The sequence below is a fragment of the Homo sapiens genome, chromosome 3, assembly GCF_000001405.40.
Source record: "Homo sapiens chromosome 3, GRCh38.p14 Primary Assembly".
Classification (NCBI taxonomy): Eukaryota; Metazoa; Chordata; class Mammalia; order Primates; family Hominidae; genus Homo; species Homo sapiens.
In genome coordinates, this window is record NC_000003.12 from 192,291,162 (window position 1) to 192,307,511 (window position 16,350).

Here is a 16,350-nt window from a genome sequence, read left to right on the forward strand (position 1 = left end):
GAGAGCTTCTTGTATACGAAGAACATCTGATATATGTGTATATATTTTTATAAAACACTTTTCATTTATTAATTATTCTATGGACATAACAGTTTGAGAATCTTATGGATGTTACTTTTTAAAAAATTATCACTACAGGCCAGGCATGGTGGCTTATACCTGTAATCCCAGCACTTTGGGAGGGCAAGGGAGAAGGATCACTTGAAACCAGGAGTTTAAGACCAACCTGGGCAACACAGTGAGATCTCATCTCCATAAAAAAATAAACAAAATTAGCTGGGTGTGGTGGCACACACCTGTGGTTCTAGCTACTCAGGAAGCTGAGGTGGAAGAATTGCTTGGGCCTGGGAGGTCGAGGTTGCAGTGAGCCAAGGTTGCACCAATGCATTCCTGCCAGGGCAAAAGAACAAAACCCTGTCTTAAAAAAAAGAAAAAAAAAAATTACCATGGCCAGAGGTTTGTTCCAGAATATCACCCAAAAATATTCCTCAAATGAATACTCTGGGAAGTACTGGCTTACTAATACAGAGCAAAAGGTATATATTAATAGAATAAATGTGAGAAACCTATGGAAATAAGTAGGGGAAATAAATATATGGAAACAAATGAGTCATAGAAATACATTCTTTCTATGTTTTAAGGGAAATACTAAAGTTATGTAACCTTTGACACAACTTGTGGAGCAAAAGATTGTGAATCTTAACTAAAAGGAAAAAAGAACTATTTTCCCAAAGTCCTCATAAAAGCAAAGTGTGCTATATTCAACAATACGTGTATCAAATTGGCATTGGGATCATGCAGCTAACCCAATTTGAAATGCCATTTAAGTAGAAATAGGAAGGCAAATCATAATAATTCCACAATCAAAGCTCAAAACATGTGTTGACACTCAACCAAAATATGAAAATGGCTAACATTCACACCAAATTTTGATTACACTCATAGTAAATTTAAAACTACTCACTAATATTGCTCAGAATCAGAAGTTTGTTCAGCGTGTTATAAGCGACTTTCTAAGGGCAAGTTACTTTGTTCACATATGGACCAAGTAGCTATTGACAAATCACGTGGTTTCTTTTCAAATGCTTTGTGTTTGTGGCATTTTATTGGTCATTGTGTCAGGAATACCAAACAATTTTTTTTTTTTTAGTGTTTGCAGAATATTATACAGTACAAACATAAAATAATATGTTGCAATGAGTCAGCATCCTTTTCTAAGTTTTATAAAGAGAATTCGTGATAATTTACTTTAGGACAGTGACCTTGATTGCTTTAAAATGCCTTTAATCAGTGCTAATTTCTCATCTTAAAGGAAAATGGAAACATCTGAGTCAATTCTATTTCTACATTGTCTTACTTATAAAATAATAAAATAATGAGAGGATATTAAAGGAAAAATCATTCATTTATTCAAATATGCATACAATTGCTTTAAGTCTAAGATATTGAAATAAACATGGCACCGTTAAAAATATTTTAACGGTCTATACAATTTTCTGGCTTGTAAAGTCAGTCTCTCTCTCTGACTGGCTCACTTTCTATCTAAAACATACCTATCTGAAACAACAAACAACACACTTCAATACAAACATACCAGTTGAACAAGGGACTTCTTATTTATTTTCAATTTTTTGAGACAAAGTCTCGCTTGGTCACCCAGGCTGAAGTGCAGTGGTATGATCATGGCTCACTACAGCCTCGACCTCCTGAGCTCAAACGATCCTCCCACTTCAGCCTCCTGAGTAGCTACAGGACTACAGGCATGTACCACTATGTCCAGCTAGGCTTTTTTTATTTTTTTAAGATGGGGGTCATGCTAAGTTGCTCAGGCTGATCTCGAACTCCTGGCCTCAAGCAGTCCTCCCACTTCATCCTACCAACGTGCTGGGATTATAGGCATAAGCCAACAACTGACTTCTTGAGAGGTAATTTTGATCATATGATCTCTCAGAATTTCATTTAAATTTCTTTCATAGACATCTGAGAAAGAGATATTAAAGAAGGAAAGAGAGAGATTTCATTTAATTCAATCAAAGTTTTCTCTGGTTAATCTAATTCTGTGCCTTAGTGATGTTTACTGAAAAAAAAATGGTGGAATTTAGAGGAAGAAAAACACTTTCTCTTGGGAAATAAAAGAAAATCATATGAAAATTTACCTGTTACAATTCGTTAACAGAAGAGAAAATGAAGTGTATGTATCTGGAGATTTCCAATCATCTTTCCAGTGCTAAATTTGAACCTCATTCTCAAGGGTTTTCTAAAATAAAACTTAACATACCTTTCCATCGTCACATCCTCATGTCCTCAAGGCTAATTTGATTTAGGGATTATTCTAGTGTTTCGATTTGCTATCAGTTTGAGAGCCTTTGTATCAAAAAGAAGTGCCAAATTTTGTGAGGTTCTTAAGAGAATAATGCAGGTGAATAAAGCCTCAGTATACTGGGCTTCTCAGGAATGTAGCACTGACTGCCATTTATAATTAATTAAAGATTTAGAGATTCTGTACCTTTCAAACGTTCCTTCTTTTTGTGTGGAACATTTTCTAATATATATTCAACATTTGCCTGCCTTTTCTTTTGATTCAGGGTTGTTTCTCCTAGTTCTTGCTTATCTTCATCTGTTTGGGTAGTTGTAGCCAATGGCTTATAAACAATATAACTTTATTTCTTACAGTTCCAGAGGATGGGAAGTCCAATATCCAGGTGATGGCAGATTTAGTGTCTGGTAAGTGCTTGCTCTTCTGGTCGATAGATGAGGCTGTCTGTCTGTGTCCCTACCCAAATCTCATCTTGAATTGTACTCCCATTATTCACTCAAGTTGTGGGAGGCACCTGGTGGGAGATAATTGAATCATGGGGGTGGTTTCCCCCATACTGTTCTCATGGTAGTGAATAAATCTCATGAGATCTGATGGTTTTATAAGGGGTTTCCGCTTTCACTTTTCTCTCATTCTCTCTTTGCCTGCTGCCATCCCTGTAAGATGGGACTTGTTCCTCCTTGCCTTCCACCATGATCATGAGGCCTCCCCAGCCATGTGGAACTGTGAGTTCATTAAACCTTTTTTCTTCCCAGACTCGGGTATGTCTTTATCAGCAGTGTGAAACAGACTAATTCTCAGAGTCCTTACTTGGAGGAAGGGGCTAACTAGATCTCCAGGGTCTCTTTTATAAGGACATTTATGACATTTTTGAGAGCCCTTATGACTTAATCTCCCAAAGGCCCCATTTCCTAAAACTACCACCTTAGGAGTTAGGATTTCAACATATGAATGTAGGGGGGCACAAACATTCAGTCATAGCACTGTTCCCTGTCATCGCTGTCACTCTTTTCTTTTTCTCCTTTTTAAGTGTAGCTTCCTGTCTCCTTAGGCAAAGAAACAAAACAACCTAGGTTGGAAGAAGCACAGATATCAGATCATATAAAAGCAGAATAATTTCTACTCTTACAAATAAAGTGCATGAGATTGTATAGAAAGGCATCACAATTTGTCTTTTTAATGTTTAACATGCTTTTTTGCTTTCTTCCTGATCTTCCAACATATTTTGGCTTATAGGGAAAAGTTTTGCAACTATAACATAAAATAAAAGATAAGCAACAGCAATCTTCTAAATTGATAGGGGTAAATAAACTTTAATTAGATTAGGTAACTACTTTTAGAAAAATATAATATCTCTCTATAAAGACATATTGTTTAACACTAAGAGGGCTCCCTTGAGTATATAAAACTAAGAAGTCATCAAGAGGTTTGGTTTCTTGAAACACAAACTCTCAGAATTTTGCCCATAAGACCCTAACTTAAAATAATACCAGTGGACTCTAGCAGGTTAATTATCCTACCAATCAAAGACAGTTCTATGCAGATGTAAACATATTGTTTCTAGTGACAAAAAATGATGAGGCTTTAAGACTCAGAGTGATGGAGAAGAAACGGTATGAATCTTGCCTCATTCTCTTGCTAGCATTCAGTCACCTCCCCACCTCCTACTCTCTCTGGCTTACAAAAGCCGACCTATCTAAGAGAACTGCCTAGAGCCTTCTGGCAATACATTGTACTTTTTGGTGTGGGTCAGTGGCAGGATTGGAACTAGTAATTGGATTTCCGCACTCCCAGTTCACTTATCTATCCACTACAAAACAGCATGTTAATTTTGGAAATATTTATACCACTAGGTCATCATGACCTTTGAATATAACCACTGGCACCAATTATATACCAGGAATCTCCTTATGCCTCACCTAACTAGAGTCATTGCCCATGGCAGTATGGACTTCAGATGCCTTCTCTCCTGGATAACTGTTCGACATATATAAAACCTCAAAATAATGTGTTATATTTAAGAAGAATTCGAAGACAGAATATCCAAGTGTGGATATATCAAATTAATGTCTACATTTCTCTCTTAATTTTCTATCCAAGGAATAAGAGCTAAATATAATCACAGCAGGAATCCTAATGAAATGTTTCAACAGGAAGCAATATTAAAGTATATCAACCTAGAGTGATTGTTTTGATAGACTGTCTTAAAGGTAAATCTAGATTTTCTCTTTAAAGAATACTGAATCTCAAATAAAATCAAATCTCTTCCCTGAAATATCTGTCAAAATCAAATTGGTATAGACTATTTTTATCACAAACACTCCCATTTTTCATAGCTATTCCAATACAACTCTGATTTAAAAACTGCAATAGAAATATTTAATTTAATTAATTTATTTTTAAATTTTATTTTATTTTTTTTGAGACAAGGTCTTGCTCTGTTGCCCAGGCTGAGTGCAGTAGCACTATCACAGCTCACTGCAACCTCCATCTACCAGGCTCAAGCGATCCTCCCACCTCAGCCTCCCAAGTAGCTGGAACCACAGGCACACACCACCATGCTGACTAACTTTGTTTTTCTTTCTTTTTTTTTTTTTTTTTTTTTTTTGTGGAGACAGGGTTTCACCATGTTGCCCAGGCTGGTCTTAAATTCCTGACCTCAACCAATCTACCTGACTCGGCCTCCCAAAGTGCTGGGATTACAGGCGTAAGCCACCATGCCTGGCCTACAATGTTTTCATTTTATTTTATTTTTTTTTTTTTGAGACAGGGTCTCACTCTGTCACCCAGGCTGGAGTGCAGTGGCACAATCATGGCTCACTGCAGCCTTGACCTCCCAGGCTCAAGTGGTCCCCCCACCTCAGCCTTCCCAGTAGCTGGGACCACAGGTGCACACCATCATGCCCAGCTTATTTCCATATTTTTTGTAGAGTCAAGGTTTTGCCATGTTACCCAGGCTGGTCTCAAACTCCTGAGCTCAAGTGATAGCCCCGCCTTGGCCTCTAAAAGGGGTGGGATTACATGTGTGAGACACTGTGCCCAGCCTCATTTTATTTTTAAACAAAATCTTCAAAAATTGTCCTGATTTAATAAGAAAATACAACATCCTAAAACATGATATTAATATTTACCATCTTTAGTTGTACAGATTCTTTATTTCTTTGTAAAGAACATTATTAGGTCTTCATAAGAAATGAAATATTGCTCTTTATGAGTTTAATGCACATAAGTAATCTATAATTCTGTATGAAACTTTTACAATCCCTTAAGAAATGTCCTGCAAATTTGATAATATCAAATTTAAAAATAAAATACTTTTAAGGTCCAAACTTTAGATTTCAGAAAAAAACATGTGGAGTACTTAGTTTATACAGCCTAACTCTGTTCTATCATTTGCACTGATAACATTATTCCTGAACACATTTTAGCCCAAACCCAGGGAAGATAGGCTTACATGCAAGTTTACAAAAGGAATAAAATCCAGGTAGTCAGCAAAGTGCCCACAAATGAGAACCGAAATTCTTCTAAATTGCTTTGTTCAAGTTTCATTATCTAGACTTGTTTTTGGCACAACATGGTTATTGCTCACCCTTTACTATCCCTTCTACCAGCACATGTTGTGAAGAACAATAAAAGTACTAGGGTCAATATATAGGTATGTCTGCTCAAAAAAATAATAATAAGAGAAAAACCTATTTGGTTAGAATTTCCCACGATTTGCGTCATAGCCCACAAACAAGACCGATTCATTCACTTTTCTGGAAATATGCTATGAAGCAAAAATTTTAAAAATTAAAAACGTCTTCTGGATTGCTAGACTGGTTCAGTCGCAATACTTTGTTTGAAAAGGGAAGAGAAAAGTATACTGTTTGGTAATTGGAACTCAAAGACCACATCCTGTGTTGTTAAATGCAGATTTCTTGATTGGCATGACAGAGTATGCAATATAATTATTTTTAATTGCCAATTCACATATCTAAAGAAAAGAATATATAAGACTCCCAGAGGCACTGTTCTATAGCAGGAGTTTAATACGTCAATGCAGGCTTTAGCAAATAAGGGCTTTTGTCAATATTTCCCTGGCACATCACCCACAACATAACAATACCACTTAGAATTTATATAGGCCCTTCATTTGCAAAGTGCTTTAAAATAATTAATCCCCAGAATACTCATTTGTCAGGGGAATGAGCAATTGATTATAAAACTGAGGATTTCAAGCAAGAAATGGTTTGGATAAGTTCAAAAAGGAATCTCATTTTGAAATAGAATCTCTATTTGAAATAGAATCTCTAACATCCCCAAAGTTAGCAGTGCTGTTTTGATATGGTTAACATCTTTAATATTTTTAGGCACTGATAAGTTGAACCCATAGGTTTCTTTATGCTCTCTATATTTCTCGAAAGCTCACTTCTGTACTCCAACGTGTGTGCAGTTTTTAAGAGCCACAGGTTTTTCCATACATTCTCAAAAATGGTAGAATGTCTATATTTCTGAATATAACACTGAGAAGGCATTTGTAACCGCTATTACAATATTAGACCATTAGCGCTGTGGTGGCAAGCACAAGTTCACTATTGTATACCCGAGACTGAACACAGTGCATGGCACACAGCAATCACTAGTCATCCCAACATAAAAAGCTAATGTTCTCTCAGCTTCATTAACTCATATCTTTATTTGTTCATTCATTTAACCAGTCAATCAATCATCATTTGTTGAGCTCTGCTATCTGCAAATCACTGAATGATTTAGCAAGAAGATGAGAAAAATGTTATCTGTCCCTTGATCTCATAGAGTTTACAATTAACTAGAGATATATAGGTAAGTGAAAAATGAAGATGATTAAAGACAACAATAGAAGAACAGGAAGGTCGGAGAACAAAAGAAGAAAGAAATATTTCTATTTGGTGAGTGTCTTAGTCCATTTTGTGTTGCTATAAAGGAAAATCTGGGGCTGGGTAATTTATTTTAAAAATAGGTTTATTTTGGCCAGTCACAGTGGCACATGCCTGTAATATCCCAGCATTTCGGGAGGCCGAGGTAGACAGATCACTTGAGGTCAGGAGTTCAAGACCAGCCGGGCCAAAATGGTGAAACTCCATCTCTACTAAAAATACAAAAATTAGCCAGGTGTGGTGCATGTCTGTAATCCCAGTTACTCAGGAGGCTGAGGCAGAATCACTTGAACCCAGGAGGTGGAGGTTGCAGTGAGCTATCGTGCCACTGCACTCCAGCCTGGGTGACAAGCAAGTCTCTGTCTCAAAGAAAAAAAAAAGAGGTTTATTTTACTGATGGTTCTACAGACTTTACAAGAAGCATGGCACCAGCCTCTGCTTCTGGTGAGGACTCAGGAAACTTCTGGTCATGGTGGAAGGAGATGTGGGAGGTGGAGTCTGCATATCACATGGTGAGAGAGGGAGCAAGAGAACAAACAGAACATGTCAGGTTCTTTTTAACACACAGATCTCATTGGAACTAAGAGTGAGAACTCATTCAATTCCTCAAGAATGGCACCAGGCAATTCATAAAGGATGTGCTTCCACGACCTGAACACCTCCCACCAGGCCCCGCCTCCAACAGTGCAGATCAAATTTCAACACCTGATTTGAAGGGGACAAATATCCAATCAATATCAGTGAGGATTCAAAACAATGCTTCACAAAAGATGTAGTTTTACTTGGGTTTTGCATGATTTTGATAGGCAGAAGAAATTGGAGAAGATTGTTGCAGACTGAGGGAAGGCCAAGAAGTAGAAATAGCTTTCCTGCCACCACCAATTTGGAGAAATTTGTAGCTGAAATTATATCACTTTTGACTACACTCTGTAAATTCAAATTTGATTTGTGTTGCTGAGAAATTCTGGATGAGATTGGCCTGTGATTACCATACAAATTGGTTGTATGTAAATATGTGCTTCTATAGTGTTTGAGGACATGACTTATTCTTTCATATATCTGAAATATTCCTCAGATTGTTTCCTCTCCTAATGTATATTGTATTTAAAAAATGAGAAAATGTAAGTCTCTTTTGAATAAAAGGCTGAAAGACTTCTATGGCATACTACACCATAATTACTTATATGCAAACATACAATAAGTCTACAGAAACTCCTCAAATACACATTTAACTTTGTTCTAGGCATTATGGAGGATATAGTGTTGTTCCCAAAAGAATGTCTTAACAGTGCTGATACATTAAAAATGTTCTATAAATTCTTGTTAATTAAATATTACCTGATGAGTTTACAATTTGAAGGGAGGACGAGTGACTCCAGACTATGAGGAGAACGACTGGAATGCCACATGAAGTCGTAGACAGTGCTCTCTGTGCAATGAGTAAGGCACAAAACACTGAGCCAGTCATTGAACTCAAGTCTTCCCGATCCCAGTCTAAGATAGTCTTTCCACAGATACATTGATTCTATTAGATATTTCCTCATTAGAAGGACTTCATTTCAGTACTGAAATTACAAAGCTGCCTCAGGTATTTATGCATTTTATTTTTCTTCCCCTGTGCTCATGTGATGCTCCACCTGTCCCACTGGGGCCTATTTTCTCTATGGATTGTGTTCATCTCCCACAAAAGCCAATAGAAACTCTGGCAAAACATAGGGGAGCACAGGCAATCCCTTCTGCCACCCCTAGGGCATGCTCAGGAAGACACTGGTATCGCTGCTAATAGCACCTACCAGGTGTCCTGGGTTGGAAAATCTTACCTACTCTGTCACATGGCAGCCCTCCTCCCAGAGCTAGCCACCAGTGGTACTTACTAAATTATAATGATCTACTTTAAATATCAGTAAATGATGGTGCAACTGACTTTAAAACCAATTTGGATATTTGCTGGACATATCTGTCATTGAGGCCGATTATGAAAGGTTATATAAAACTTAACAATGGGGCTGTCCAGATGGGACCTAATAGTTTACCTTAATTTTTAGCTTAAACAGAGACAGCCCAATATTACAATCCTGGACTACCAATCTATTACCTTCCAAATGCCTGGGGCCAGGTCCTGGGGGAAGCATGGTAGGTGCCAATTTTGGTCAAGTCAGGTCTTTCTTGGGGGCGGTCATGAGAAGTAAGAGTGAAGAGTTGTAGATAATTATATTTCATAATAATTCATTTTCTTTATAATGTTATGTATTTTTTTATATATAAATTAAAAAGTATTATTCTAAAAAGGGAATCCCTAGACTTCACAAGACTGCCAAGTTGATCCATGGCACAAAACGGTTAAGAATCCCTGAAGGCTCACCTGGCGCAGTGGCTCACATCTGTAATCCCAGCACTTGGGAGGCCAAGGGGGGCTGAGCACTTGCAACTAGGAGTTTGAGACCACCCTGGACAACATGGTGAAACCCCATCTCTCCTAAGAAATACAAAAATTAGTTGGGTGTGGTGGCACATACCTGTTACCCCAGCTACTTGGGAGGCTGAGGCATGAGAATTGCTTGAATCCGGGAGTCGAGATCACCCCACTGCACTCCAGCCTGGAGGACAGAGTAAGATTCTGCCTCAAAGGAAAAGAAAATTCCCGAAAGATTGTCCAGAAATCAGTTAATGTGCAAGCATAGCAAATGCATGGGACAAAGAAGAGTAGAGAGGTCACTTTCCATAAGGAAAACACAATGAGGTATTGAAAGTCCAAAGAAACATGGACTTAAAATATTACTGTGAAAAAAAAAGGGCAATAGAAAGGAGTTTGCAATATCTGGAAGGGGATGGGTTAAGACTAGGTGAAGATAAACGAATCACCGGGCATGGAGAAATCATTCCAAGACAAGCATCAGGGAGAAAACCGAATACTCTCTTTATCTTGCAAGTAGTGTCTTAAAGAAACAGGGTCCCACTAAATAGTCACTTGGGAGAAATAGCCAAGAGCTACTAATTATTGTTTAGTTACTCAATTCATCCAGTAAGTAAAAATGTATTGAACACTTATTATGTGTCAGGTACCACATGCTAGGTGATAGATATCCAATGGTATAGAAACACCACAAATGGTCTTTGACCTTGTGAAGCTTACAGTTGACTTGGAGAGACAGGCATTAGTTAAGTGAGTAAGAACCCAAAAAATTATGATAAGCTCTACGGAGGAAAAGAGTACTGTGGCAACAAAGGCATGCATAGTCTCGTGGTCAGTGGAATTGAAGTTTTGACCTGTAAGATGAGCACAAATTGGCCAGGCAGAGTGGAGGGAGGGTGTTCCAGATGAAGGGAGGAGCATGTAGAAAAAGAGGGTACTGCTGCTTAGTATTTTGAATTATGACACTCTTCAACACACTGCAGAAATTGGGTAGATTCTCCACCTTGAGAAGAAGAAAAGAGAGTATGGGAGTAGAAGTCAGGTAAGGAAGGGAGCAGGGAAAGAAACAAGGAGGAGGAGGCAAACTTTCGCCATCTAATCCTTTGACTGGAGCCCGAGCAACCACCTCTTCTTTTATTTACTCTCCAAATCAGAGCCATCTTTTCTCTCTTACACCTTTTGCCATGAAAAGAATATGATGAAGAGAATAAGAGAAACCCTATTTCATTTTAATATTTACCAAGAATCCAAAATGTACAACTGAGACGGTGTTATGGAGAATATAAAAGTGAGCACAACACTTGCTTTGCAGAACAATCAAGTGACAGGGAGAAAAAAATCTAACAGAACGCCTGCTAGGTGTTGAAGTAGAGCCACCAGCCCTCTGGGTGGCCTTAGGCAGGTCATGTCTCCTCTGGGAGCCTTCCTTTCACATCTGTCATAGAGCTTGTAGGCAACTGACTTTGTGAAGTTCCTGCCAGGTTAAACAGACTCTGCTCCATTTTTCAGACTGTTATTAGAAAATGCTCAAATACATCTGAGTTTGTGTAGGATTGGAGGCAGTTAATATATTTAAGGAGTCAGACATATAATTAAGATTTTGTTGTTGGGGTGGGATTTCTCCCCCTTTTAAGTCTCACTTTTGAGAAACTGGAACCTGAATTGAGCTGTTCAGAGATGAAGACTAATATATCATAATGTGCACTTACTAATTCACTAAATGTCTAGATGTTGATGTTGGGGATTTAAGGAGGGGTGTTTACTAAGACCAGGCACGGGACTAGGTCCCAGGAATTCCAAATTGCATAAAATGTGGTCCTTGCATATTAGTCATTCAACGGGCTCAGAATGGAAATGGCCATGCAGAAAACAGTGAGCATAAAGAGTTTACTGCTGTATCAACCTGGACATACAAAGGAAGAACTCTGAGACCACTAAGAAGGAAGTAAGTGTTAATGGGAGAGGTACATGTGGAAAGTTTTGTCACAAGTCTTGCATTGGTGCCTGATCTTAAGGAGTGAACAGGAGTTAGCTAAACAAGGTGAAGAACATTCCAGGCAGACAGACTATGATAAGTAAAGGCAAGAAGGGAAAGAATGAACATAATGCTTTTCCTTCCCCAGCATCTATTTCAGTCACATTGCAGATAAACAGGATTTTAAACATGGGAAGTCATCCAAATCAGACAATTCTCATTCTTTTATCAAAATCCTAAAGGGAACATTTTTAAATCTCTTTTGTAATTGCTAGGAAAATGATGTGTGCCCAGAGTCCTTATTTAGAAAAAACAGTCCTTATTTTTTAAATCAAACAATATATCAATTTTCCAATAGAGCTGGAACCAAATTCTGCATTTCATATGTTAATTGCAATGTACTTTTTCTTTTGTAAGGTGCATGAATATGGTCTGTCAGCCATTACACAAATTTAAGTATGGAAAAAAAATGGGCTTCACAAAAAGCAATGAAATGCATCAACATCAGAGATTTTGTCACGTTAGTAGACAAAAACATCGACTTGAAGGATGTCCTTGCCAGGTTAGGATACGTCCCTTTTCTAGCTAATGTCAACCTAGACTCAGCTCCAGTCAGAAATGCCTGCTTGGTTGGCAGCTGCTGAGAGATAGCAACTCCTCCTAGCAACAGATGGAGCCAATCAAAAGCCAGCAGCAGTGATCCTTGCTGTTAAGTGCAATGACATCTCATTTATCTGGCAACTCCAGTGAAGACTGTATAGTGCACAAGATAATTACTAAGAGACTGAAATTTACATTCCCATGCACCAGGGACTATTAGAATTTCAACAGCATGATTGGAATTTTGCCTAAAATTAGATGTCTGTGTGTTTAAATTATGAACAGGTATCAGAGTGTGGTGGATTACGCTTAGGTTTTAAAGACACCTAAAGGTGACTGTTAGTTTTATCACTTACTGCCCATGTGTTCTGAGGCATGATAGTTTCCCTGAGTTTTAATTTTTCCATCTCTTAAAATAAGATACATACATTGCCTGGCCTAACATATCTCACAGCAGTGTTGTGCTAATCACAAAATATAGCAGATCTCAAAGCCCTTTGAAACTGTCAAGCTTCATGTAAATAAATACTAACTGACATTTTCCTACTATTAGAGAAACAGCATTTAATATAGCTAATAGCTTCAGCTCCCATCTGGGTAATCTCCAGTAAGCCATTTCATCTTTATTTCCTCACCTGCCCAAGGAAGATAATGCTAGGACGTGATTCAGGGACTGGCTGTGAAGACTGTAGTAAGCACTCAAAAATGTTAACTAACAATTATTATCATTCCATCATTTAATGCTGCGAGAACTTGAGGTGTTGCTAAATTGGAGACAGTTTTTATTCCTACTAAATGACCCCCAAAGCAATATTCTATAGAACCCAAAAACACATGTATCCAAGGGATCTTGCACAAAACTCTCTTAACCCTCCACAGCTTTTTAACACATTCATGCATGCTAGAGATTATTTCCAAGACATCTACTTCCCCTGTTGGGCACCGAGCGCTTTACTTTTGCTGTCTCCTCCTGATGACCTCTCCATTCCATGAAATTACTATTCTCCTGCTCTACATATAACTAAAAACTTGGGATAGTCCATGGTTTATTTGATTAAGCAAGTGCTACCAAGCTTATAGTTCCTCACAGGTCTGTCTAAACAGAGTATCTACTTTTTATCTTATTATCAAAATTCTCTCCTGCATAGAAAGGAAAGACCAGGAAATTTTTTTAAAGGACCTACAGTAGTCAGTTTCTCAATTCTCACTCAACTCCACTTGCTTGCGGTAATATTTAATATTAAAAAGGTATAATATAATTATCGCATATACCATACTTTACATGTTATAACACGTGAATCTGTTATACAGTTAAGAACAGGTCACAATGGCCAGTATTCTGCTGGACCCAAATCAGTAAGACTTACTGACAAGAACTACAGTTTTAAGCTACAATTTTAAAATATCCTCTCTGCTTCATAATGCTTATTCCATACTCAGAACTTTAGTAGATCCCACTTTGAATGTCTTAATTTTTGTACTGTTTAGCTTTCTTGCTGTATAAGCTCCTTTGAGAGCAGAATTTTTGTTTCATTGTTTGTAGCACACACACCCAAAGCATCTAGCTCACTTTGTACACAGTAGTACATGCTTAACAAATAGCTATTAAAGAAATACTCATAAAAACAAAAAAGAAAGGGATGGAGAAAGAGGAGGAGGATTGGAGGAATGGAGCAGAAACAAGAGAGATTAACAGAGAAGGGAGAGGAAGGAGGGAAATAAGGAGAAAGGAAAGATGGAAACAGAAGAAAGAAAACTAAATTGTTATAAATGCATGAGGAGAGATATCAAAGATGTTTGACTACTTTAAATACAACTCTTAGACCATTTTTCAGATACAGTATAACACTGTTTCTCATTGCCACTCTTGTATGTCACCTCTTAGTCCTTAGGATGACTGATGCTACTACAGGGTGTCAAAAAAATGGAATTTTAACAGGCTTCATTTTCATACAAACTCAAAAAGCTAAATGTAAAAAAAAACAAATTTTTAAACAGAGATATAATACCTTTGTTTGTGTTTTACTTTTCTTCCCAGAAATACACGTCGAGCTGCCCTTTCTCTATATACCTCCCACTCCTTCTCTGCCTCCCAGCCAGATTCTACACGTCAGTTTGCTCGAGTCCCCAGCTCTCACGTCCTCAAACCATCGCCGTCTCTCTTCCAGACACACACCTCAGCCAATATTCTGGCTTCCAGTGAAACACAAATGAAGAAATAAAAGTCTTAAATAGAAATTCTAAACTCCTGCACATGATAGAACATTTACTTTTCTAATAAGGGAGAGAAAGGTGGCTTAGGAAAAAAAAAAAAAATATATATATATATATAAATATATATAAATCCTATGAAAAACTGTGTGAAAAGATCTAGAGTTAAGAGTCTTAGTTTTTGTGTCGGACACTGATATTAGTGACCCCTATTTCCTTTGAGAAACTTTCTATTTTTCTAAGATAGCAATAATGACACTGCTCAATCCATCTCTCTGGTTTTTTTTTTTTTTTTTTTTTTTTGAGATGGAGTCTCACTCTGTCGCCCAGGCTGGAGTGCAGTGGCATGATCTCAGCTCACTGCAAGCTCCACCTCCCAGGTTCACGCCATTCTCCTGCCTCAGCCTCCCAAGTAGCTGGGACTACAGGCGCCTGCCAACACACCCGGCTAATTTTTTGTATTTTCAATAGAGACGGGGTTTCACTGTGTTAGCCAGGATGGCCTCGATCTCCTGACCTCGTGATCCACCTGTCTCTAAGGTTTTTATGTGGATCCAGTGTCATTACAAATATGAAAATTTTAAATTTTAAAAATGTACACAAAAACACACAGTTGGATTACCTTTTCTGAATGCACATTTTTGTTTATATGATTTCAATTATATGTTAGGGGACACAACAAGTTGGAAATTCTTACACAAATCCATCCATTATGGACGCTCTAAGCCACTAATTCCCACTACTGCAACCAGGTATACATAAAAACGTGCCTTAACCCCCAGTTCAGGTGAGTTGCAGGTTATGATTCTCCAATGATGGAATACTCTGAGAAGGCAAAAAGGGGCATCATTTTTCTGGGTGGCATCATAATCACTACCAAAAAATTGGTCAAAGAAGCGGGGCATGGTGGCTCACACTTGTAATCCCAGAGTTTTGGGAGGCTGAGGCAGGAGGATTGCTTGAGTCCAGGAGTTCAAAATCAGCCTGGACAACCTAAAGAGAGTTTCTTGACATATATTTCTAAGGGGCAAATGAATGAATTCTAGTTCTCAACCCTGTATTGCTGATTGATATATGTTGACCATGAATGGTTTTCTGGTGGCCCCAGAGAGTCGACAATGGTTTGTCATCAAGGGCTTATCCAGGGCAGAAGCTAATAAAATATCACTTGCACAGATTAAATAACACCACATTTCAGGAGAGGCAGTATAAATAAGAGGGACCTCTGGATAATGAATGGATTTAAAAGGTCCAGCCTGTCCAAATCAATTTTCTAATCTCATAAAATGGGGTTGAACCCAATAATTTATGTTTCCTTCCACTTCCAAAATTTAATAATATTATTTACTTGTTCCTTTATTTATTTAAAAATATTTATTTACTTAAAATGAGAAAAGTACCTGTGAAAGAATTAGATTTGTTTAATATTCTCATGGACACTATGATCACACATCATGTAGTATTTAAATGTGATCAACAAATAGTTGAAAATGTGTTATGTGAAAAATAATAATTTTCGCAAACACTTTTACAGCACTTACCATATCTTAGGCATCATTTCATGTGATGGAAGACAAATATATAGATAGACATGGATATGGATAATGATTGAGGTAAGAAATACAATGGAGACAGAGACAGAAAAATTCTTTTAATCATTACAACAACCAACAGCTTTAGAACATTAACCATGTGTTAAGTAATTAACATGTTATCTATGATGCCAGATAAAAAAGGCACAATAAATAGAAAATGTTCCTTATCGTCACCTCCAGGGTACGCTTTAGGTAATGAAGTTCTAATATCAGAGATAGCAGCAACGACAGGATGCTAATTGTGGTGAATATTAGAAAAGAAGCCACTGATGTAGTCTAGCCGACCTCTATGATCACTTTTATCAACTGAAAGTTAAAAAATAAATAAATAAAGCTAGAGT

At 37.6% G+C, this 16,350-nt stretch overlaps 1 protein-coding gene across 7 annotated transcripts in view, besides 1 other annotated feature; it reads right to left on the bottom strand.

Moving 5' to 3' along the window:
- The window catches only part of FGF12 (fibroblast growth factor 12), a 588,152-nt gene that overhangs the window by 151,772 nt on the left and 420,030 nt on the right, over positions 1 to 16,350 (bottom strand). The window lies entirely within an intron of this gene.
- Positions 13,819 to 13,988: an enhancer, noted in NCBI's record as "experimental_67460 CRE fragment used in MPRA reporter constructs". NCBI's record gives its function as "activates a minimal promoter by MPRAs in K562 erythroleukemia cells, with activity observed for both the introgressed and non-introgressed 3:192022854 variant alleles {active_cell/tissue: K562}" and the evidence as "EXISTENCE:reporter gene assay evidence [ECO:0000049][PMID:34662402]".